Source organism: Homo sapiens, chromosome 9, assembly GCF_000001405.40.
Source record: "Homo sapiens chromosome 9, GRCh38.p14 Primary Assembly".
In the NCBI taxonomy this organism is placed as follows: Eukaryota; Metazoa; Chordata; class Mammalia; order Primates; family Hominidae; genus Homo; species Homo sapiens.
In genome coordinates, this window is record NC_000009.12 from 87,732,998 (window position 1) to 87,759,965 (window position 26,968).

At 42.6% G+C, this 26,968-nt stretch overlaps 1 long non-coding RNA gene and 1 pseudogene across 2 annotated transcripts; one reads left to right on the forward strand and one right to left on the reverse strand.

The window, feature by feature from the left end:
* On the forward strand, positions 8,226-10,572 carry EIF3JP3 (EIF3J pseudogene 3; annotated as a pseudogene).
* On the reverse strand, positions 18,756-26,259 carry LOC124902198 (uncharacterized). 2 transcript variants are annotated; one of them, XR_007061644.1, is made up of 2 exons: positions 26,215-26,259; positions 18,756-19,360 (listed from the first exon to the last, which is right to left on the reverse strand). It is a non-coding gene; the product is annotated as an uncharacterized LOC124902198 (long non-coding RNA). The 2 variants fall into 2 exon arrangements; XR_007061643.1 differs by lacking the exon at positions 26,215-26,259 and adding an exon at positions 24,108-24,295.
* Positions 26,260-26,968: the final 709 nt, after the last annotated feature.

A 26,968-nucleotide genomic window follows, 5' to 3' on the forward strand; every position in this document is an offset into this window, starting at 1 on the left:
CTATTGACCAGAGCACCTGCCCGGGGCCTCCCCATGGCTTGGGCTTCCCACAGCATTGATACTGGGGGAAATACATATATAGTGCAATTCAGTGTTTTAAGTTTGCCAACTTGGAAGGTGTATATATACAGCTTTAAACCCTGAATTTCACAAATGTTCATGATTATCTCTTTGTTAATAAGTTAATAAGAAAAATAATTTCCAGGAGACTTGGTCTCTTTTCTCCAGTAATACAGCTTAAACATTCCATAATTCACATGTTTAAGATTGTTTTATTTACACTTTCAACAAGTATTCATTGGGCACCATTTATGAGGCAGTGCTGTGCTGCCAACACAAAAGTGAAGCAAATACTCATGACCCCTTCCTCTGTAGCTCATGTTCCCATTGAAAAATCAAAGCCTGGCACAGACCCATGGGTAAGTGCAGCACTAGGGAGGTCTCAAAGGAGCCCAGGGACAGTCAGGGCACACACCAGGGACAGGCCACCCTCCACGGTCAGAGTAGGTATAAGCAGGGGCCATCTGATCCCAATTTCAAGCGTTCATAGCTGTCATATCTTGGAAAAGGCATGAGAGGGCAGTTTCTCTTTGCGCTGTATTATTTCAATTTTTAGGTAATGGACCTTCATTATTTTCACAAGATAACAGATTCCAAAAGTATGCAGTTCAAGAAAAAAGTTAAAGAATTGACAAGAAGGAGGAGGAGGAAGAGGTGGAGAAACAGAGGGTCCTTAGATAACTTGATGAAGGCGAGTCTCCCATTTGGGGACTGATGTTCCTGAGATCTGTGCAGATGCTGCTCAGAGGGTCCATCACACAGCACAGGCGTGGGGAAGCAGCACTGCCCAGCTGGACTCCAGGGTGCTCCATGCACCTCTCAGTCACACAGAACCTCTCTGAGGATGGTGGCTGTTGGCTCCAATTGACCATTCCCTGGCAAGAGAAACAGGGAGGGGGGTTTGCTAAGCGCTTAAGGAGGGATGGACAATGAGGGGATAGACCAGGGACAGTGTTCTAATGAGACTGCTTTAGTGAGGACGCAGAGTGACTCTGCTCAGAACTCCAGAACACTTGCTCCCTTCAGCTGCCCCACTCCCCACAACCATGCACACTCCCCTCATCCCAACCTGGGGCAGCATGTTGAGCACTTAACAGAACTGCCATTTCTGTGGCTTTTTCATCCCTTTCCTTTTCCTCCATATTCAGGAAGAACAACAGATTACTAATCACCCACACTCAGGGAAGTCCAATATAAGTAGGAGCAAGAGCAAATCCCGAGCTTTGGGTGGTTAATTCTTCTGAAAAACCATAGCAGAGACTTCCTGTTTCCATTACAACGTGGAAGGAGTTTTGAAGTTGTAACCATCCACTCACAAGTAAAAAGCTGAACAAATTGAAAAATCAACAACTCTTCTTAGAATCATCAGACAAGTGAAGACACACAGCAAACCACTGCCTTAATAATTAGAGAAATGAATGTCAAGAATCACAGCTTACAGAAGGAGAAATTTATGAGCAGAGATTTCCACAGGAACAAGTGCTTAGTAAGGAAAACCAAGCTGTAACTGAGGAATTGCCACAGGTCCATGTGGACAAGTCTGAGAGTTAAAATTCTAGGAGTTGTGCCTTAGAGGGGCTCCTCAAGTTGTAGAGCTCCAATAGCTCTACCAGGTTCTCAAAGTAGAAATCTAAGACAAATTCCCTCATGATTCAGGTATGTGTGGTGGGGCGGGAGGGGGCGTCATGATTTGAAAATATGCCAGAGCATTCTGTTCTTCTTAACGAGGCCTCTCCTCAAGAAAAACTTTTTTTTTTTTTTTTTTTTTTTTTTTTTTTTTTTTTTTGAGACGGAGTCTTGCCCTGTCTCCCAGTCTGGAGTGCAGTGGTGCGGTCTCGGCTCACTGTAACCTCTGCCTACCGGTTTCAAGGGATTATCATGTCTCAGCTTCCTGAGTAGCTAGGATTAGAGGCGCGCGCCACCACACTTAGCAAATTTTTGTATTTTTAGTAGAGACAGAGTTTGACCGGGCTTAGTAGAGCTTAGTTTGACCGGGCTTTAGTAGAGACATGTTGGCCGGGCTGGTCTTGAAGTCCTGACCTCAAGTGATTCTCCCATCCTGGCTTCCCAAAGTGCTGGGATTACAGGCATGAGCCACCACGCTTAGCCATTTTTTTTTTTTAAGTCAAAGCTGACCTATTGGGGTTTCATCAAAACCTAACTGAACTGGGGGATGGAAATACCCAGCTGCAGCCTGCTTCAGCCTTCCATATGGAGAAGGGTAATAATCAACTCCAGTTCACTCTAGCCATCCTGTCTCACCTAAAAATGGAAAACCCGAGAAGCACTTGTGAATTCCACAGCCCAGGGACATGGTTAGGTTGATTAAAAGACTGCGACCCACTCATAGGACTAAGGAATACTTCTCCTCCCTCTACATATTTCCAGCGCATTCCCAAAGGCTTATTTACCAGTGTTTCTTTTACCTGGTACACCATAACCCTCTTTCTAAAGAATATTAAAAGCTATACTAAAAGGCAAAAGTCACAACTAGAAGAGGCAAAGCAAGCATCAGAACCAGAATCAGATATGTCATGAATGTCAGAAACATCAGACCAGGAATTTAAAATAACTATGACTATTATGATAAGGGCTAATAGATCAAATGACAACATGCAACAACAGACAGAGAAGGTAGAGAGTAAGTGGAAAATTCCAAGCATCCAAAAGTCATGCTAATTCGGCCGGGCGCGGGGGCTCACGCCTGTAATCCCAGCACTTTGGGAGGCCGAGGTGGGTGGATCACGAGGTCAGGAGATCGAGACCATCCTGGCTAACACGGTGAAACCCCTGTCTCTACTAAAAATACAAAAAGTTAGCCAGGCGTGGTAGTGGGCCCCTGTGGTCCCAGCTACTCGGGAGGCTGAGGCAGGGGAATGAACCCAGGAGGCAGAGCTTGCAGTGAGCCAAGATCGCACCACTGCACTCCAGCCTGGGCAACAGAGCAAGACTCCGTCTCAAAAAAAAAAAAAAAAAAAGTAATGCTAATTCTTAGCAAACTAGTAATGGAGGGGAACTTCCTCTCCTTGATAAATAACATCTATAACAAACCTGTAGATAACGTGATTTTGACAAAATAAAATCTTTATTACTAAGATCAGGAGCAAGGCAAAAATGTCCCCTTTCACCACTCCTTTTCAGCATAGTACTGGAAGTCTTAGATAATGCAATAAAACATGAAAAATAAATATATGTCTATAGATTAGCAAGGAAGAAATAAAATTGTCTTTGTTTGCAGATGACCTAGAGAATCCAGAAGAATCAACAAAAACCTGTTGGAACTAATAAGTGGTTACAGCAAGGTTCTAGGATACAAGATTAATGTCCAAAAGTCATTTCCTTTCCTATATATCGGCAATGAACAAGTGGAATTTGAAATTAAAACACAATACCATTTATGCAAGCACCACACAAATGAAATAATTAGGTATCAATCTAACAACAAATGTATAAGATTTATATGAGGAAAATGACAAAACCCTAATGAAACAAATCAAAGAGCTAAAAAGATATCTCATGTTAATTAATAAGAAGACTCAATATTAGCAGGACTTTATTTTTTTTCCCATTTCATTTATAGACTCTGCAATTTCAATCAAAATTCTTGCAATTAGTTTGGCAATTAGTTCTGCTGTTTGCAGAACAAACTGATTCTAAATTTGTTATGGAGAGGTAGGAATCTAGAATAACTAACACAACACTGAAGGAGAACAAATTCAGAGGACATAGACTGCAGGGTTTCCAGACTTCCTATAAAGCTACAATAAACAAAAAAGAATGATTTTGGAGAATGAATAGACAAATCATCCATGGGACAAAAGTGAGCTCAGAAACAGACCCACGTAAATATAGTCAACTGATCTTTTACTAAGGAGCAAAGGCAATACAATGAAGAAAAGATAGTCTTTTTTTTTTTGCTGGAACAACTTGGCATCCACTTTCAAAAACATGAATCTAGACACAGACATTTCATGCTTCACAAAATTAATATAGATCATACATCCAAATGTAAAACACCAAACTATAAAACTCTTAGAGGATAACATAGGAGGAAATCTAGATTACCTTGGGTATGGCGATGGCTTTTTAGATATAATACTAAAGTACAATCCATGAAATAAATAATTGATAAGTTGGACTTTAGTAGAATTAAAAACTACTCCATGAAAGACAGTCAAGAGAATAATCAGACAAACCACTGACTGGGAGAAAATATTTGCAAAAGAAACATCTGGGCCAGGCACAGTGGCTCACGCCTGTAATCCCAGGACTTTGGGAGGCCAAGGCGGGTGGATCACGAGGTCAGGATATCGAGACCACCCTGGGTAACATGGTGAAACCCCGTCTCTACTAAAAATACAAAAAATTAGCCGGGCGTGGTGGCAGGTGCCTGTTGTCCCAGCTACTCGGGAGGCTGAGGCAGGAGAATGGCGTGAACCTGGGAGGCAGAGCTTGCAGTGAGCCGAGATCGTACCACTGCACTCCAGCCTGGGTGACAGAGCGAGATTCAATCTCAAAAAAAAATAAAATAAAATAAAAATTAAAAAATAAAGAAACATCTGACAATACCATTCAGGACATAGGCACGGGCAGAGATTTCATAATGAAAACATCAAAAGCAATTGCAACAAGAGCAAAACTTGACAAATGGGATCTAATTAAACTAAAGAGCTTCTGCACAGTAAAAGAAACTATCATCAGAGTAAACAGACAACCTACAGAGTGGGAGAAAATTTTTGCAATCTATCCATATGCCAAAGGTCTAATATCCAGAATGTTTGAAGAACTTAAACAAATTTACAAGAAAAAACTAACAACCCCATTAAAAAGTGGGCAAAGGACATGAACAGATATTTCTCAAAAGAAGACATTTATGCAGCCAACAAACATATGAAAAAAAGCTCAACATCGCTGATCATTAGAGAAATGCAAATCAAAATCACAATGAGATATCATCTCATGCCAGTTGGAATGGCGATTATCAAAAAGTCAAGAAACAACAGACTCTGGCGAGGCTGTGGAGAAATAGGAACACTTTTACACTGTTGGTTGGAATGTAAATTAGTTCAACCATTGTGGAAGACAGTGTGGCGATTCCTCAAAGATCTAGAACCAGAAATACCATTTGACCCAGCAATCCCATTACCGGGTATATACCCCCCAAAATATAAATCATTCTATTATAAAGATACATGCATGCATATGTTCACTGCAGCACTATTCACAACAGCAAAGACATGGAATCAACTCAAATGCCCACCAATGATAGGCTGGATTAAAAAAAGTTGTACATATACATCATGGAATACTATACAGCCATAAAAAGGAATGAGATCACATCCTTTGCAGGGACATGGATGAAGCTGGAAGCCATTATCCTTAGCAAACTAGCACAAGAACAGAAAACCAAACACTGCATGTTCTCACTTATAAGTGTGAGCTGAACAATGAGAACACACGGTCACAGGGAGGAGAGCAACTCACAACGGGGCCTGTCAGGGGGGTGGGAGGAGGGAGAGCATCAGAAAGAATAGCTAACGGATTCTGGGTTTAATACCTAGGTGATCAGTTGATAGGTGCAGCAAACCACCATGGTACACATTTACCTATGTAACAAACCTGCACATCCTGCACATGAATCCCATAACTTAAAATAAAATAAAACTTTTTAAAAAAGGAAATAAATATAGGCTAGGCACGGTGGCTCACGCCTATAATCCCAGCACTTTGGGAGGCCAAGGCAGGTGGATCACATGAGGTCAGGAGTTTGAGACCAGCCTAGCCAACATGATGAAACCCCATCTCTACTAAAAATACAAAAAATTAGCCAGGTGTGGTTGTGGGCACCTTTAATCCCGGCTACTCCAGGGGCTGAGGCAGGAGAATTGCTTGAACTAACTCAGGAGGTGGAGGTTGCAGTGAGCCGAGACAGTGCCACTGCATTCCAGACTGGGCAGCAAGAGTGAAACTCCATCTCAAAAAAAAAAAAAAAAGAAAAGAAAAGAAAATATAAAAAGGGCTCTCGAAATTCAGCCATAAGAAGAACAACCCAATTACATAATGGACAATTGTCTTGAACAGACACTTTACCAAATATATGGGTGGCAAATGAGCATATGAAGAGATGCTCCATGTCATATTTCATCATGGAGATGCCAATGAAAACAACAATGAGATACCACTACACACATACCGTGATGGCCAAAATCCAAAACACCAACAATGCCAAATATTGGTGAGGATGTGGAGGAAAGACAGTCTCATTTATCGCTGTTTGGAATGCAAAATGGTACAACCTTTTTGGAAGACAGTTTGGAAGTTTTTTAAAAAAATAAATCTTAACATACTCTTACCACACAATCCAGCAATCCCACTCATTAGTATTTACCCAAATGAATTGAAAACTGTGTCCACACAAAAACCTGTATAATGGTGAGTGGTGACTATCTGGGCCATGGCACAGGTGGTAAAAGAATTTACCAAGGCAATTGTAGGTAAAGAAAGGCAGATTTACTAGAGAAAGTAGGAACACATGTTGCAAGGGTGCAACAGGCAGGGCAGCAAGAGAGGAGCTGACTGCCAGGAGACAAAAGCTTACCACGGATTTTGTGGAATGGTGTTTGTGCTGGGTGCTGAAGTGGGCTTTGTGCAGTGCTGATAACGCCAAAATTGCAGTGAGCTCATTTGCATTTTTCTATCAGCCAAGGGTCTGGTGATAGCTGGGTGCAGGAAGATTGTAAGTTATTTGTGCAGGAGGACTGTGCGTCCTGGACCATGAAGAAAAGGCAAACTCATAGCTTATCTGCTTTCTTTTTTTGCTTTCCCTCCATCCTGCCAGCCTGACTACCCTTTCCCAATTAGGACTCCACAATCTGCACAAGAGCATTTATAACAGCTGTATTCATAATTGCCCAAACTTGGAAGTAATCAAGAAGTCCTTCAGTAAGTGAATGGATAAATAAATGTAGTAAATCCAGCCAATGAAATATTATTCAGCCATAAAAAGAAATGAGTTCTTAAGTCATGAAAAGATATGAAGGAAACTTAAATGTGTATTACTAATGAAAGAATCCAGGCTACATACTGTATTCCAACTATATGTCTTTCTGGAAAAGGCAAAACTATGGAAACAGTGAAATCATCAATCGTTGCCAGAGATTAGGAAGTAGGAAGGGCTGAATAGGGAGTGCACGGAAGATTTTTAGGTCAGTGAAACTATTCTGTGTGATACTATAATGGTGAATCCATGTCCTCATACATTTGTCAAAACCCATCGAATGCACAACACCAAGAGTGAACCCTAGTGTTTATTATGAACTTTGGATGATAATGGTGAGTCACTGTAGGTTCTTGGACTGTAGGAAATGGACTACTCTGGTGCATATGTTGATAGTGGTGGAGGAGGAGAGGTTGTAGGGGTTTGGAGAAGAAGGGCGTGGAACTTCCTGTTCTTTCCACCCAATTTTGATAGGAACAAAACTTAGCTCTTAAAAATTATGTTTATTAATTTTAAAAACAAACAAAGAATACCTAATTTTTTTACAAATTGCTCTAATTTCATAGAATTGCACATTAAAAATATGAGATACTACACAAAAGAAATTATAGCAGTGCTTTAGACAGGAAAGGGGCATGAGAGAACTTTCTGGAATAACAGTAAGTTGTATGTCTTGATAGGGACTTGGGTCGTACTGGTATATGCAATTGTCAAAACTCAAAGAACATACACCTCAGATTTGTGCATTTCAATCAATGTAAATTTTATGGTAAAACTAGGATTTTAAAACAAGTATTAAACCCTTGTTAATGATATGCGCGCTAAAGTATTTAGGAGGAAGCACTACCTGCAAATTTCTTGAAAACACGTGAAAAATAACATGAACTAATGGACAGATAGAGGCAAAAATAGATCTACAGATGTGAATTAAAACAAAGATTAAAATGTTAATGATAAAATCTTGGAGGTAGATATATGGTATTCACTGTAAAAATTCTTTCAACTTTATTGTATGTTTGAATATTTGCATAATATAATGTTAGGGGAAAATTGCAGCAGAGATAATATTCTAAATAGCTAAAAAAAATTTGACTTTCAGAAGACCAGACTCATTGAGAGCGAAAAAATTATTTTTGTTTTGTTGTTCGTTTGCTTGTTTTTTAATTCTGGCAACGGCAGAGGAACTCTGACTCCTGGGGTGCAGAAAAATTGTCTGTGGAAGCCCCGTGAAGGAGGTGGGGGACCGCTGCAAAAGCAAGGAAGAGGACGAGGATGAGGACGTCTGGGATAACTGGGATGATGGTGATGACAGGAAAAAGAAAAAAGAGGAAGCAGAAATAAACATTTTAGAAAAGAAAAAACTAACAGAGAAGATAAAAGAAAGAACGGCAACAGAAGAAAGGGCAGGAAGAAATTAAAAAGGGGTTAGAAGAACCTGAAGAACTCCAGCTGCTAACACCAGAGGAACAATTAGCAGATAAACCGCAGCTGGAGAAATCACAGGAAGAGTCAGACATGGAATTAGCAAAGGCAACTTTTGGTGTTAAGACTACTGTATATGGATCGGATGCTGTAAACCCATCTTCAAGGGATGACCTTACAGAGTTTGGAAAGTTACTAAAAGATAAAATTACACAAAATAAAAAGTCACTATATTATGCCAGTTTTTTGGAAGTCTTAGTTGGAGATGTGTGTATGTCATTGGAAACTGATGACTTGAAAAAGGTTCTCAATACATTGTGCTTTGAAGTGAAAAACAGAAGCAAGCAAAGCCAAGCCAAAAAGAAGAACAAAGGTATGGTTCCTGGAGGGAGATTAAAAGCCACCATGACAAATGATCTGGTAAATTATGGTGGTGATGATGCAGGGTATGCACAAGACTATGAAAATGTCATGTGACATTGCATCTTTTCCTGGTGTCATCTTTATGTTGCCCACGACCCCTTCAACGCACAGCACAACTTCCTTTCCTTTCAGTTCTGCCAAATGCTACAATCCAAAGTGCAGTCTCTTTCGTGCTGGTTATTTAACCCCTTGACACTTAGGTGTTAACGTGCAAATGAGGGAGCTTGGATCTTGCTGCCAAGGGGTTAAAATCAGGAACCTCAATTGCTACTAAATCATAGTCCAAAACAAAGCAAACCTAATAATGTCATTTTTGGTTTCAGATTTCATAGCGGCAGTCACTGAAAATTGGAAACAAAAGGCTGCAACAAGACAAAATAAATTGTGTAGTACTCAACAGCACTATTCAGTAATACAGCCTTAACCATACCTCCTTGAACTACTTCATAACTTGTCAAGAAAAGCAGCTGCAGCAAGGGCATGTGGCATGCACCTAGTATGAAAATTGCTTTGTCTTAAAATTGAATGTGAGGCTATTAAAAATACATTGTGAAGAAGACTGCTTATGCCAGAGTGAAGATACTGTGGCTGAAAAGCACTAGTTTGATTAAAATTAAATGACCAAAGCCTTCCAACTTTGAATCTGAAGAGGGTAAGCCTCTCCATTATAACATCACATGTTGTGGATTCTCTTGAATACAAAGACTGTCTAGTTACTGAAACCACCTTTGCAAAATTATGACTGAGACAGTGAAAGAGATCTAACTGAATTGATTCCATCCTGCTTCTAACCTCCAAGCTGTCCTTGTTCATTCTTGGGTGTAGGCTGAAGTAACTTTGGGAGAAACTTAGTTTATAGTTTAAAACAAAGACGATAACAGCCCTATCCCAAAGCAGACTTCCTCCTTGCCTGGGGACTACTGCCTTTGCAGGACTAACATTAGCCACAAGATTAGAAATTATGGTTTAGGAGTCATGCAGCTGGAGGCTGCAAGATTCTGACCCTCCCTAACCTGTTCCTAAGATCAGTGCGTGAGATATTTTGCAGCCCCTGCACTTAATGAATCAGCTGGCACCACCCAGATTAATAAACTGTCTCATCTGACCTTGTGGCCCCACCCAGGAACTGACTCAGCACAGAAGACAGCTTCGACTCCCTATTATTTCTTCTCTGACCAATCAGCAGTCTTGGCTCATTGGCCTCTCCCCACCCACCAAGTTGTCCTTAAAAACTATGCTCCCCAAGTGCTCTTCTGGGAGACTAATTTGAGTGATAATACAGCTCTGGTCTCCCACACAGCCGGTTCTTTGTGAATTACTCTTTCTCTATTGCCATTCCCCTGTCTTGAGAAATTGGCTCTGTCTAAACAGTGGGCAAGGTGAACCCCTTGGGTGGTGACATTACTTATCAAACTATTTCTACTGATGAAGTGCTTCAGATGGGGGCTTCAGGACTCTTTACCTGTTTTTGTTTGCCTGATTTAAGTGTCTGAGAAACAAATCTTAGTTCTCCTGGGCTGCAATAAAACAACTTTACCAGGGTTTTGGCATTTCCTTTCTTTTCCTTTATAAAATATGCTCAACAAACTGCACCAGTTAACTACAGTTTGATAAATTGCTAACAATTATGACATTTGCAATGATTTATAAAGCAACTATTTCAAATAAATAAATTACAAAGAGCATTAAAGGAGTTTATTCTATGAACAAAAGACAGCAGTTTCTGCCCCAGCCTAGAGAAGGTTCAGAACATGAGAAGGATTTGAAAGGAGAGCAGAGAAGTCACCTTTGGGTGTGAGTCCCTGAGCCACAGAGGTAGGGGATGGGAGACAGGGGAAGGGTCAAGAATATGCATTTTTGCACATAGGAGTCTATGGCTATAAAACTGCTCATAATTAAACTAAAGAGCTTCTGCACAGCAAAAGAAACTACCATCAGAGTGAACAGGCAACCTACAGAATGGGAGAAAATTTTTACAATCTACCCATCTGACAAAGGGCTAATATTCAGAATCTATAAAAACTTAAACAAATTTACAAGAAAAAATCAAACAACCCCATCAGAAAGTGGGTGAAGGATATGAACAGACACTTCTCAAAAGAAGACATTTACGTAGCCAACAGACACATGAAAAAATGCTCATCATCACTGGCCATCAGAAAATGCAAATCAAAACCACAATGAGATACCATCTCACACCAGTTAGAATGGCGATCATTAAAAAGTCAGGAAACAACAGGTGCTGGGGAGGATGTGGAGAAATAGGACGCTTTTACACTGTTGGTGGGACTGTAAACTGGTTTAACCATTGTGGAAGACAGTGTGGCGATTCCTCAAGGATGTAGGACTAGAAATACCATTTGACCCAGTGATCCCATTACTGGGCATATACCCAAAGGATTATAAATCATGCTGCTATAAAGACACATGCACACGTATGTTTATTGCGGCACTATTCACAATAGCAAAGACTTGGAACCAACCCAAATGTCCATCAATGGTAGACTGGATTAAGAAAATGTGGCACATATACACCACGGAATACTATGCAGCCATAAAAAAGGATGAGTTCATGTCCTTTGTAGAGACATGGATGAAGCTGGAAACCATCATTCTCAGTAAACTATCGCAAGGACAGAAAACCAAACACTGCATGTTCTCACTCATAGGTGGGAATTGAACAATGAGAACACATGAACACAGGGCGGAGAATATCGCATACTGGGGCCTGTCGTGGGGTGGGAGGAGAGGGGAGGGATAGCATTAGGAGATATACCTAATGTAAATGACGAGTTAACCGGTGCAGCACACCAACATGGCACATGTATACATATGTAACAAACCTGCATGTTGTGCACATGTACCCTAGAACTTAAAATAATTAAAAAAAAAAGAAAAATAAAAAACAAAAATAAAGTTAAAAAACTGCTCATTATTATATGTTAATATAAACATACTACATGTTATTATATATTAAGTTTATCCCAAATGTTTCTGACAATGTATTAGGTTGGTGCAAAAGTAATTGCGATTTTTGTCGTTACTTTTAAATGGCAAAACCGCAATTATGTTTGCACAAACCTAATACATATTAAAGACAATTTTCAAACTCATGGGTTCTAGAACCCTTGTGAGAACAGTCAGTTTTCCTAATGTAACTTCTAAAAGTACTTATTAGGTGGGAAAGCAGTGTTCTTTTTTTTTGAAATAGGGTTTCTGGTTCTGTCACCCAGGCTGGAGTGCAGTAGCGTGATCGTGACTCAATGCAACCTCCACTTCCCAGGCTCCCAAAGTTCTAGGATTACAAGCATGAGCCACTGTGTCTGGCCACAGTATTCTTGTGATCATTGGAATCTGTAGTGTAATCCCACCATAATGATTTGGTAATGGGGTTTAAGGTCCCACTTATACTTAGAAAAGAAAGTTTTAATAACAGGAATAAATTAAGGGGATAAATTTTTCTGAAGTTTTGTTGAAACTTTAAAGAGAAAATCTTACAACATGAAGGCTAAAAAGATTTCCTGAACAAAAGAAGGCTAAGGCACAGTTAAATAAAACAGTGTTCGTTACTGTCAATTTGCACTTGGTTTCTGGTGGCAAGTAATTGGGGTGTGTCCTTGACTGGATCTCTCAATGAGATTTATCAGTCATTTGAATGAATATGGTGGTGACGCTTACAGGAAGCTTGAAGGTACTTTAAATGCTTTTTTACTTTGTAATTTTTGTGGGTACATAATAAGTGTATATATTTATGGGCTATGTGAGATATTTTGATACAGGCACGCAATGTGTAATAATCACATCAGAGTAAATGGAGTATCCATCTCCTCAAGCATTTATCCTTTCTTTGTGTTATAAACAATCCAATTATATTCTTTTAGTTATTTTTACACATGCAAGTAAATTATTATTGACTACTGTTACCTTGTTGTGCTATCAAATACTAGGTTTGTTTCATTCTTTCTATTTTTTTGTACCCATTAACCATCCCCACTTCCCTTGACACTCCCACTACCCTTCCCAGCCTCTAGTAACCATCCTTCTACCCTGTATCTCCATGAGGTCACTTGTTTTAATGTTTAGCTCCACAAAGAAGTGAGAACATGTGAAGTTTGTACTTCTGTGCTTGACTTATTTCACTTAAAATAATGACCTCCAGTTCCATCCATGTTGTTGCAAATGACAGATTTGATTCTTTTTTATGGCTGAAATAGTAGTGCTTTGTGTATATGTACCATTGTGTATATGTATATTTTCTTTATCCATTCATCTGTTGATGGACACTTAGATTGCTCCCAAATCTTGGCTATCCTGCAACAAACATGGGAGTGCAGATATCTCTTCGATATGCTGATTTCCTTTCTTTTGGGTAAATACCTAGCAATGGGATTGCTGGATCGTATGGTAGCTCTATTTTTAGTTTTTTGAGGCATTTCCAAACTGTTCTCCACGGTGGTTGTACTTATTTACATCCCCACCAACAGGGTACAAGGGTTATGTTTTCTCCACATCCTCTCCAGCATTTGTTTTTGCTTGTCTTTTGGATATAAGCCATTTTAACTGGGGTGAGATGACACCACCTTGTAGTTTTGATTTGCATTTTTCTGATGATTAGTGACGTTGAGCACCTTTTCATATGCCTGTTTGTCTTTTGTATGTCTTCTTCTTCTTCTTCTTCTTCTTCTTCTTCTTTTCTGAGATGGAGTTTCACTCTGTTGCCCAGTTGCCCAGGCTGGAGTGCAGTGGCGTGATCTCGGCTCACTGCCACCTCCACCTCCCAGGTTCAAGTGATTCTCCTGTCTCAGCCTCCCAGGTAGCTGGGATTACAGGCGTGTGCCACCACACCTGGCTAATTTTTGTATTTTTAGTACAGATGAGGTTTCACCATGTTGGCCAGGCTGGTCTTGAACTCCTGGCCTCAAGTGATATGCCAGCCTTGGCCTCCCAAAGTGCTGGAATTATGGGCGTGAGCCATCACACCCAGCCTGCCATTTGTATGTCTTCTTTTGAGAAATGTCTATTCAGATCTTTTGCCAATTTTTTAATCAGATTATTAGACTTTTTTCCTATAGAATTGTTGGAGCTCCTTATATATTCTAGTTATTAATCCCTTATCAGATGGGTAGTTTGCAAATATTTTCTCCTATTCTATGGGTTGCCTCTTCACTTTATTGACTGTATTCCTTGCTGTGCAGAAGCTTTTTAACTTGGTATGATCCTATGTGCCTATTTTTGCTTTGGTTGCCTGTGCTTGTGGGGTGTTACTCAAGAAATCTTTGTCCAGACCAACGTCCTGGTGAGTTTCCCCAATGTTTTTGTGTAGTAGTCTCATAGTTTCAGGTTTCGAATTTTAGCCATTTTGATTTTATTTTTGTATATAGTGAGAGATAGGGGTCTAGTTTCATTTTTCTGCATGGATATTCAGTTTTTCCAGCACCATTTATTAAAGAAACTGTCTTTTCCCCAATGTTTGTTCTTGGCAACTTTGTAAAACATGAGTTCACTGTAGATGTGCTTGAGGGCACACACAAAAATCCATCCCACCCCACTAAGCCACCCAAACAAACATGAAAGACAAAAACTGTTTTTGTTGGGGAAACACAGCTCTGGAACTAATTCCCTGGGCCCCTTGTTAACACCAGCCCCTCCTATAAGAAAATGATTTGTCGAAGCTTCAGTGACCATTGAAGGGATGCTCTATAAGACAAGTCTGTTGACTGAAAGAGACAGAAACCAATGTTGAAGCTACTTATGCAAGAGGAGGACCTGGGTGGCACAGACCTGGCTGGATGCAGGGCTCACAGATCGTCATCAGCACTCCATCTCTTCCCACCTTCAGGACCTACTGTCCTCTGTTTTGCACACACTCCCAGCCAGGCTCACTTTTTATCCTCCTTGGAGGAAAGTGGGTTTCCCAGTTGTGTCTGGGCTGGTGCTGCTTGGCCCTGCCTGGGTCCCATGCTGGCCTCAGGATGAGAGGGATGGTCACCTCAGCTACAGCACATGGATTGCTCTGTGAAAAGCAATCTCCACAGGAAACCAGGATGGCTTCACCAGGGAGGCAGAACAACAAATGCCCATGACAGAGGGCATGCACCGTGAATAAAAGAATCAGGATTTTAAACAGAAAGGCAGAAAGAAGAGGACTTCCAAACCCTAGAAAGTTTAAAACTAATAGAATAAAATTTACTGTGCGTAAATGTAAAGCCTTATGTTGAGATTAAATATATGTATGTGTGTCAAATTTTATCTAAAAATATATGTAGCCAAAGAGTCAGAAAAAATAAAAATAAAAAAGTAACAAAAGTAAAACAAAAATATATGTAGCCATATTCATGTGATGCAACTACAAGAAAAAAGTAGAAATGGTTTAGTAGTGTCCTTAAAAAAAAAAGTCTTAGTTTTTGGTTGCTGGTCACTTTGAGATGGTTATCAACGTGATTTGGACACTTTAAAAGTTTGCAATAATGAGATTAAAAAGCAAGATAAAGGAGGAAATAGTGCTGTTAATGCCTATTTCATGGTGTCATGTCTGGAATATTGTGCTTGAGCCTGGGGGTGCGGGTGGGGGTGACATTTTAAGGACACTAGCGAGCATTCAAAGAAGAATCAGCATCCAGCTCGTGAAAACGACCATGACACCTCCCCTTCCACCCCCCTTGCCCCAGAGCATGCCATTTTAAGGATTATTTTGAGTGTAAAGAAACTAAAAATCAATAGATAGAAGATTATTTCTCTGCTCTCCCCTCGGATGCCTAAAACCCGGGCATAAATTTCCCTTTGTTAAGGTGGCATGGATTTCCCCCTCTCCTGTACCAGGATGAGGAGAGGGAACACTTGTCACCAGGGACAGAGAGCCAACACCAAAATAAGTCTGCATAAACAAGCCTCCCTAAATAAGCAGGATAATCCATTAGTTCCCACATAGTTTTCCTAGTCACTTTTCCACAATTAATCATTCCTCAAAGCCCAAATCTTCTTTCCTTTGTTAAAATGGCACATAAGCCTCTGAGTTTAGCCATTTCTTTGACTTTCCTTTCCTTTCTGTGAACTCCTGTGTATGTAAAATATTAGTAAACTTTCTATTATTTTCTCCTGTTAATCTGTCTCTTGTGAGTCAAACTTGCAGAGCCTCCCAGTCAGTGAACCTAAGAGGGAAGAGAAAATGTATTTCCTTCCTGGCACTACAAATGGTGCATGTTTGTTGAAAGGAAGTACTTAACTGCTACACGGCAGGAGGTATAATCCAGACAGAAGTAAGAAGTGTGCTGGATATTAGAATATTCCTGCTCTTCATAAGTGGATGAATTATATGACCACCAATTTTCCAGTACTCCTAAAATTTTTGATCCCAAAGGTACCTTAAATCCCTCTAAAACAAGAATAAAAAAATTGAATACCTTGTTGAGAAACAGATGTTCAGAACTTTTTCATCTTGTAGAATGGAAACTACACCTATTAAACAACAACTCCTGTTTTCCTCCCCATCCCAGTTCCCACTAATCACCACTCTACTTTCTATTTCTATGAACTTAGCTGCCTTAGATAACTTGTATAAGTAGATTCACACAATATTTTCCTTTTTGTGACCATGCTCTTACTCTTAGGACAATGGCCTTAGGGTTCATCCATGGGGCAGCACGGGACATGATTTCCTTCCTTTCTAAGGTCACAGAATGTTCTATTGTGTGTCTATTTTCAAAGGAGGAATTCTGGAGATGGGTGATTATATCAACACTCACGGTATCTTATTTAATTTTTAACACAAAATTATGAGGTCATTGCTGTTATACACATCTATAGTGGTTAAAATCAAGCCTTCGAGACTGAAAGTAATTTGCCCAAAGTTTATGCATACCAGAAATGAGACTTGAGTTATCTTCTTCCCAAACCTTTGCCATTGAGTAGGAAACTCATAAAGTCAAAGGGCACTGGAATTGTTGCTTCTATTGGTTTGTCATTTTTTTCCACTTACTGTTTTAGTGCAGACATGTCTGAAATGCAAACAGGTTTTAAAATGGAAGCTTTGGAGTATTCCGTAATTATGGTTATCAACGTTTAGTATTTCCAGCAAAACATTCTTATTTATCAACTTCCCCATTTATCTCAATCAAAATAAGTAGGAAAAAGAAAAAGCATAAATAGTTCTCACTGCTTCTACAATCCAAAAGAAAAATAAAAAATATAAGCGAGAAATGCAAGTTCAGAGAAGTTCCCAATTTTCTTCCCTTTCATCATTGGGCAAAATGATCAAACTATTCTTGCTGAGTGGGCAACTCCCCATGGTACTTCAGAAAGGCTTTGTTGCCTGGTGTGGCAATGCCTAAAAATTCCTTAGATGCTAGGGGAAATGCAACAGCATTGTCCCAGATGACTGTACTATGCTGTTTTTCTTTTTCTTTTCTTTTATTTATTTATTTATTTATTTATTTATTTATTTATTTATTTACTTTTGAGACAGAGTTTCGCTCTTGTTGCCCAGGCTGGAGTGCAATGGCATGATCTCAGCTCACCACAACCTCTGCCTCCTGGGTTCAAGCAATTCTCCTGCCTCAGCCTCCCAAGCAGCTGGGATTACAGGCATGCACCACCACTCCTGGCTAATTTTTCTATTGTTAGTAGAGATGGTGTTTCTCCACGTTGGTCAGACTGGTCTCAAACTCCTGACGTCAGATGATCCATCTGCCTTGGCCTCCCAAAGTGCTGGGATTACAGGTGTGAGCCACCGCACCCGGCCACTATGCTGTTATTCTTGATATCACTAGATTAGATATTTTGTTGAGTCTTACCTTAAATACCCTTCATGCTAGTTTGTACCAGTAATCTCACACACCTCAAGCTGTTTCTCTTTCTCTTCACTGTCCCTCCATGGTTCCCTGGGAGAGGGGCAGCAGAAGAAGGTCCCAGCTCCCTGTGTTTGAAAACTGATGGGTTCAGGCAGGATTGGTGGCCCGTGGCTTGCCAGCCCAGATGCCACCCACATGGACCTCTTGCATTGTCCTGCAGGACTCTGGCAGAGTTCCAGAATCCACCAGGCCCCTGAGAATGGAGTGGTGAGGCCTTAGAGGACCGCTGCTGAGGACACTGGCTAGCTTCTGATGATGGGGACTCTCTAAAGAACACAGGAGTTCTAAGTTCCCTGAGGCACTTCTAAGCATCTCTAGGATAGCAAGGAGGGTCTAGGATTCCTGTGTCCTGGGGGCAGGAGAAATTCCCCAAGTCCACCTGAGACCCACTGAGCTGTGGGCAAAGTGCCAGGGTCCCGGGGAGTTGTAGCCAAATTAGCAACAATTCTTCTCTTAGCCTAATTATCATTCTGCCATGGTATTTACTGGGTGTCTATCATATACTGGGGACCCCTACACTGTAAAACAAAGTCTCTGTCCTCAAGATGCTTTGGTTGGGGAGATGGGATATGTAACAGTTTTGTTTGTCCTTCTGATATAACTAAAACATGTTTCTTATATCATTCAAATCATTATTTAGTTTCATTTATCCCTTTGAACTTGGGGAAAAACTCACTCGTTTACCACTTCACATATTTCTTAATCAAATTCTACTCACTTCCGCAGAGTCTTGCAACCATCCCTGACACTACTCCTGAGTGTTGCATGTCAGTAACTTTCTACATGAAGCACATAGAAATTTGGAAGTTGGAAGTGTGCATGAGGAGTAGGGTACTGTGCACTGTGGGTGGATTTAGAGGATTCACAGGCCACATCCCCAGTGTAGACAATAATTAGCCTGGCAATGGTGACCTTGTATGGACCTTGCTCCGTGAACCACAAATCTGGGATGCTGGCCAAGGAAACACTCAGGCAGAACACCCCAACACCAAGGCTTTTTATTTTATTTTATTTTATTTTATTCTTTTTTATTTATTATTATTATTATTATTATACTTTAAGTTTTAGGGTACATGTGCACAATGTGCAGGTTAGTTACATATGTATACATGTGCCATGCTGGTGCGCTGCACCCACTAACTCGTCATCTAGCATTAGGTATATCTCCCAGTGCTATCCCTCCCCCCTCCCCCCACCCCACAACAGTCCCCAGAGTGTGATGTACCAAGGCTTTTTAATTGCCCGGCAGTGGGACTGTGAACCTGGGAGACCTGTGCCTTCAGCCATTGCTGATTCCTCCTTCTAGAGTGGGAGATCAGCACCTGGACAGAGGACACTGTGACTAGAAAATGCATTTAAAAGAAGGGATTATTGCTTCCTCGGATCAGACTGTGTGATCTACAATGAACTCTTACATGTTATTTTATCTGGCATTCTAACAATGATCCCAAAGAAACATCAGACTCCTTGTTCAGAAGGTAGGTTAGTTCTCAGCAGTACAAGTTGGGTCCTCAGTGGATCCTGTGCATTTGAGGATGAAGTTTACAGATGCTTTGGACCGTAGCTGCAGGTCTGATTTGAGGACAATGAGACCAAGTCAGGGAGGCAGCAACTAATGGGGGAGGGAATAAGACACAAGAAATAACAAACATAAAGTACCAGAGTGGACTTAGTAACTCAGCAGAACTTCCAAATCTCATATTGAGATTGCCCTGGTTTTGGCATGTTGAAGGGATCATATACAGGGAATGGGGAATGCCTAATTATATGGGTCTATTTCCTCTTTATGGTCTCAAAGATTTTTTTAAGAGTTTATAGGATTATTTTTTTAATTACATAAGAAAGATTTAATTTTTAACATCTTAAAATGGTTACAGTTCATGAATACCACAAGACAACCTAAAAAGGTGCAGTCTAGAGTAGCCTATTTGGCTGTTAGTAGCAAAGGTTTTGACCATGGTCAATGACTTAATATCCATGTTAGTCACTCCTGAGTTGATATTACTGTAATTTTTTTTTCTCATTGACTTGGGTGATAGCATAAAAAGTATACTCATTAATTTTACAAATGACAAATGTCAGATGTTACAACTTATTTTAAAGGGATTCCTGTGGTACTTCAAACTTTACTAAAGACAAAACAAACGGTTTTTATCTTCATAATTGTTTTGCTTCCTGGATCTCTCCCTTCTGTTCATGATATCAGTGACTTCACTGCCAAGGCTAAAGTGATATCATGAAAAGAAAAGAGAAACCCAGAAAGCAAAACAGTTATGAAGATAAAGACCATTTATTTTGTCTTTAGTAAAGTTTGAAGTACCAGAGGATTTCTAGGTAGGTCTAGTAAAAAAAAATGTAAAGTTTGAAGTATAGCCCAGTCAGGAAAGAATTCAGTGTTAACAGATACATATTTCAAAGTCATCCATCCACATGGAATTGGAAGCTGATATTATAAAAGTGGTTAACATGAAAGAAAGGTCAAGGAAGGACTTCGGTGAATGTCTATATTTTGGGGAATACATGGAGGGAGGCATTGTATAAGTCAGGAGTAGGCAGGTTATGAAGTGGTAAAAACAACCTTAAAAACCTGAATGGCTATATCAGTTTGTAATTGCAGCTGGGCCCAACTTAGCTGGATGCCTCTGCCTCACAGTCTGTAAGGTTACAGTCAAACTACAGACTGGGGCTGCTGTTTCATCTGAAGGCTCAACTGGTGCTGCAGGATGTGCTTCCAAGCTCACACACGTGGTTTTTGGCAGACTTCAGTCTCTTAACACATGGGCCCCTTTATGAGGCTGCCTCATGATATGACAGTTGGTTTTCCCTATGGAAAGCAGTCCAAAAGAGAGAGAGAGAACAACCAAAAAAGAAGCTGAAGTCTTTCGTAACCTAAGCTCAAAAGAGACATTCCATTATTTCTGCCATATGCTTTTCATTGTAAGCAAGTCACTAAATCAAGCCTAAACTCAAAGATTTAAAATGAACGTTTTGTGTGTGTCTTTAGTAGAATTGGCAAATACACAAACTTTGTGTGTGTTTACTTATCACACATATGTGTGTGTGTGTGTATATATATATAAAATATGTTTGTTTTCTTTTTCTCTTATTCCTTAGTCATGTAACATAAGATGTTCCAACTATATAATAGTGTTTAAATATAATTAATTTCATATCTTAGTGTTTAAGCTACATGGTATCAAAGAGGAAACATCATTCAAAGACCTTACCTTGTCTTCTAGGAAAACGGTTAGTGCATTGTCAATTGTATGTATCAGGTTAATCAGAATTATGACCTTCTGATTATCTTTCTTTGAAGATTGAGTATGGTTTCAGGAGATGCATATGGGCACCAAGTTGACAAGGGGCAGAATTGAATTGTTCTGGTTAATTTCATGTGTCAACTTGACTAGTCCCTGGGGCATCCAGATATGTGTTCCAACTTTATTCTAAGTGTGTCTGTGAAGGTGTTTTTGGATGATATTGACATTTGAATCAGTAAACTGAGGAAAGCAGATTGCTCTGCTTAGCATGGGTGGCCTTCATCTGATCAATGAAAGGCCTGAATGAATCAAAAAGGCTGACCCTTCCATGAGTAAGAAGAAATTCCTTTTGCCTGATTGTGAGCTGGGACATTACTCTTCTTGGGTCTTGAGACTGTCAGCTTTTAGACTAGAACTATACCATTGGCTTGCCAGGGTGTCTACCTGGCCAACTTCACATCTTAGGACTTCTCAACTTCCATAACCATGTGAGGCAATTCTTTGTTTTTTTCTTTTGAGATGGAGTCTTGCTCTGTCGCCCAGGCTGGAGTGTGGTCACGCGATCTGGGCTCACTGCAAGCTCTGCTTCTAGGGTTCAAGCGATTCTCCTGCCTCAGCATCCCGAGTAGCTGGGACTACAGGCACCCGCCACCACACCTGGCTAATTTTTGTATTTTTAGTAAAGATGGGGTTTCACCATATTAGCCAGGATGGTCTCGATCTCCTGACCTCATGATCCGCCCGCCTCGGCCTCCCAAAGTGCTGGGATTACAGGCATGAGCCACTGCGCCCAGCCCACCAATTCTTAATAATACATTTATCTGTAACTATATCTCTCTTCCTTTATCTACTTCCTGTTGGTTCTGTTTCTCTGGAGAACCCTGATGAATACAGGCTTTATGAAATCTTTCCATGAATCCAAGAGGTCTGTGAATACAAAATTATGAATCCCCACCTGAAGACTTTTTAGTGCTAGGACTCCTTCACAAGGCAGAGAATATATCAGACCAATTTAGAGTCAAGTCTTCAAGGATCCATTGCCTTCTCTTACCTTATTCAACTGTTCACCACTCACAAACTTTCCATTTTTACCCTCTTGCCTTAGCTCCCTCTTACCCCAGTGCACATATTTGGGTCAGGGCTGCATGACCTCTCATGCCTCATCCTCAGCTATGATAGGCAGATGGTTATGATCCTAGAGACCTGCAAAAGAGATGGCTTGTGGGACCTTTTGCTACTGCCATTGCAGCCTTTCCTGTTGACCCCAACCTCCTCATCCCCCAAGCCCCCTCAGTTCCTTGCAGTTGTCATCTCAAGCACTGGGAAAGGGTCAATGTTTTGGGTAATATGCATATGGCAACAATGTAGGCTTCTCATGCCCCTAATTACTGCCTGCAGTTGTGGAGTTATTGCTCAATAATCTGATTTATGAACTAAAACACTGGGGTTTTAACAATAAATAACCAATCACGTTTAGGCATTTGGAAAGAACAATCATGTGATTGGAGGGTAAGGGAAGATTGACACCAGCTGATATTTTCTTGAGAACATTCAAAATTTGTTTTCATTGAACCTGCATATAGTATAATATGGAGAGATAAGGTGGAAAAGGAGCAATATTTTCCTTTGATTGATATCCGGCCACCCTTGGGAAAAAGTGTACTGTCACAGGATTATATTTTTATAAATCGATTATCCCCTAGAGATCATTACAGATGGTGCTAAACCATTTTTAAAAAAATATTGAAGACAAAGGTAACAATTTTCATAATGAATTGACTTCTACCTTAGAGAAATCCCTATAAGAATTTGAATCTGTAAATTCTCCACTGATCCATCCAGGGTTGGCTAAGATGGCAGGAGGAGGGGAAGACCCACACTGTGAGTGTCATTTAGTTCAGATTTCTTGGAGGATAATTTGGAAATCTTTACAGAAGTTTTAAATAGTATACTAATTGGTGGAGCAATTCCCCCAAGAATCTAGAGCAATAGCAATACAAATATGGGAGAATATTTGTATATCACTGTCCAAATCTATAATTGGAAAAATGTTATACTCCTGGAGATAGGCTGAGTGCCTACCAATAGGTATGTCCACATGAAGAAATCCTATGTAGCCATCACAGCCAGGAGGAACAAGTTCCAGAGATCTGTTGTACATCATGGTGACTGTACCATGATGGTGACTGTAGACAGATCATTAATTATCTACAGTTAATAAGAATATATTACATACTTCTAAATTGCCAAGAGAGTAGATTTTGAGTGCTCTCATCACAAAAATATGTGTGAGCTAATGTAAATATTAAATAGCTTGATTTAGCCATTGCACAAGCGTCATATTTTATATCATATATATATGATTTTTACTCATCAATTAAATAAATAAATACATAAGTAATGTTTTAAAAAGGATAACATAGATCTATATATGTATTGCCATAGAGAAATGAATGTGATATATTGTTGAGTTAAAAATAAGTGGCATATACATTTTTATCTGATATAAATAAAGAAATCACACAGATTAACTTATTTTTTCAGACAAGTGAATCACATGGTAAGCAGCTGAGAATCACTGTACAGAGTATGTATTTTTGGTTTCTAAAAAATTTCCTTCCTATTCCAAATAAGTTTGGTTTTTTAGAATCACTTCAACTACCTTCAACTTCTATCCTGTTGGGTGGAGGGGAGCAGCCACTCTTACTTACTCTTGAGGCAGAATTGGCCCTCTCTTTGGGCCTTGAAAAGAACACTCATAAGAGAAATGTTTTTTGCCTTGCCAGCCCTGCAGGGATTTGCATCCGCGAGGGAAGCATGGCTCAGTTATAGGCAGACATCAGCACCACATGGTTCCCTGCTCCTCATCCACCTCAAGGCAGCATCAGGCACCATTCATCTTTATATCCATGTCTATTTGCTGAGACCCTGTGAATGTAGCATCAGCAGGTTTTATGACTCAGAACCAGTTTCTTCTCATTTCTCTTCACAGAATAAAAAACTAAAGCTTAGAGGGGTCATAAAGGTGTGCTCTGATTCTCACAGTGGAAGGAGGCCCCAATAACCTGCACCCATCCCCACCTGGTCTCCCTCACCTACTTGGGAATGAGCCCGGGGAGCACAGGCTGATTCTGGGATGATGTTAGAGAGGTCCTACATCCTGCGGGCACTTTCCACTCCACGTTACCCAGTGAGTCAAAGTCTTCTAAAAAGACATTTAGTCATTCAAAACTGGTGCAGATCCCAGTGTCCAGGGAGGAACTTTCACTCTGGAAAACAGGAGCTCATTTCCCTTTGAGGAAATCATTTCTTTAGGATATCATTTCCAGCCACCACCCAGGATCCTGAGCAGGTGCTGCAGCTCCCAAAGCACCACTGCGGAGAAGCTCAAACCTTACAAATACCATGTTATTGTTCCTGTGGAGGACTGCTTCTCCCAGAGATAATGGTACTGATAACTTCAATTCCATGTGGCCTTTTAACCAAAAGACCTCAACACCTCTTTATCGAGTGATGGCTATATGGCCACTTTTCTTTGATTTTTTTTTTTTTTTTTTTTTTTTTTTTTTATTGATCATTCTTGGGTGTTTCTCGCACAGGGGGATTTGGCAGGGTCATAGGACAATAGTGGAGGGAAGGTCAGCAGATAAACAAGTGAACAAAGGTCTCTGGTTTTCCTAGGCAGAGGACCCTGCGGCCTTCCGCAGTGTTTGTGTCCCTGGGTACTTGAGATTAGGGAGTGGTGATGACTCTTAAGGAGCATGCTGCCTTCAAGCATCTGTTTAACAAAGCACATCTTGCACCGCCCTTAATCCATTTAACCCTGAGTGGACACAGCACATGTTTCAGAGAGCACAGGGTTGGGGGTAAGGTCACAGATGAACAGGATCCCAAGGCAGAAGAATTTTTCTTAGTACAGAACAAAATGAAAAGTCTCCCATGTCTACTTCTTTCTACACAGACACGGCAACCATCCGATTTCTCAATCTTTTCCCCACCTTTCCCCGCCTTCTATTCCACAAAACCGCCATTGTCATCATGGCCCGTTCTCAATGAGCTGCTGGGCACACCTCCCAGACGGGGTGGTGGCCCGGCAGAGGGGCTCCTCACCTCCCAGTAGGGGTGGCCGGGCAGAGGCGCCCCTCACCTCCCGGACGGGGCGGCTGGCCGGGCGGGGGACTGACCCCCCCACCTCCCTCCCGGACGGGGCGGCTGGCCGGGCAGAGGGGCTCCTCACTTCCCAGTAGGGGCGGCTGGGCAGAGGCACCCCTCACCTCCCGGACGGGGCGGCTGGCCGGGCGGGGGGCTGACCCCCCCACCTCCCTCCCGGACGGGGAGGCTGGCCGGGCAGAGGGGCTCCTCACTTCCCAGTAGGGGCGGCTGGGCAGAGGCACCCCTCACCTCCCGGACGGGGCGGCTGGCCGGGCGGGGGGCTGACCCCCCCACCTCCCTCCCAGACAGGGCGGCTGTCCGGGCAGAGGGGCTCCTCACTTCCCAGTAGGGGCGGCTGGGCAGAGGCACCCCTCACCTCCCAGACGGGGTGGCTGGCCGGGAGGGGGGCTGACCCCCCCACCTCCCTCCCGGACAGGGCGGCTGGCCGGGCAGAGGGGCTCCTCACTTCCCAGTAGGGGCGGCTGGGCAGAGGCACCCCTCACCTCCCGGACGGGGCGACTGGCCAGGCGGGGGGCTGACCCCCCCCACCTCCCTCCCGGACGGGGAGGCTGGCCGGACAGAGGGGCTCCTCACTTCCCAGTAGGGGCGGCTGGGCAGAGGCGCCCCTCACCTCCCGGACGGGGCGGCTGGCCGGGCGGGGGGCTGACCCCCCCACCTCCCTCCCAGACAGGGCGGCTGTCCGGGCAGAGGGGCTCCTCACTTCCCAGTAGGGGCGGCCGGGCAGAGGGGCTCCTCACTTCCCAGTAGGGGCGGCCGGGCAGAGGCACCCCTCACCTCCCAGACGGGGTGGCTGGCCGGGCGGGGGGCTGACCCCCCACCTCCCTCCCGGACAGGCGGCTGGCAGGGCGGGGGGCTGGCCCCCCCACCTCCCTCCCGGACGGGGCAGCTGGCCTGGCGGGGGCTGACCCCCACCTCCCTCCCGGACGGGGTGGCTGCCGGGCGGAGACGCTCCTCACTTCCCAGACGGGGTGGCTGCCGGGTGGAGGGTCTCCTCACTTCCCAGATGGGGCGGCCGGGCAGAGACGCTCCTCACCTCCCAGACGGGGTCGCAGCTGGGCAGAGGCGCTCCTCACATCCCAGACGGGGCGGCGGGGCAGAGGTGCTCCCCACATCTCAGACGATGGGCGGCCGGGCAGAGACGCTCCTCACTTCCTAGATGGGATGGCGGCCGGGAAGAGGCGCTCCTCACTTCCTAGATGGGATGGCGGCCGGGCAGAGACGCTCCTCACTTTCCAGACTGGGCAGCCAGGCAGAGGGGCTCCTCACGTCCCAGACGATGGGTGGCCAGGCAGAGACGCTCCTCACTTCCCAGACGGGGTGGTGGCCGGGCAGAGGCTGCACTCCCGGCACTTTGGGAGGCCAAGGCAGGCGGCTGGGAGGTGGAGGTTGTAGCGAGCCGAGATCACGCCACCGCACTCCAGCCTGGACACCATTGAGCACTGAGTGAACCAGACTCCGTCTGCAATCCCGGCACCTCGGGAGGCCGAGGCTGGCGGATCACTCGCGGTTAGGAGCTGGAGACCAGCCCGGCCAACACAGCAAAACCCCACCAAAAAAATACGAAAACCAGTCAGGCGTGGCGGCGCGCGCCTGCACTCGCAGGCACTCGGCAGGCTGAGGCAGGAGAATCAGGCAGGGAGGTTGCAGTGAGCCGAGATGGCAGCAGTACAGTCCAGCTTCGGCTCGGCATCAGAGAGAGACCGTGGAAAGAGAGGGAGAGGGAGACCGTGGGGAGAGGGAGAGGGAGAGGGAGAGGGAGAGGGAGAGGGAGAGGGAGAGGGAGAGGG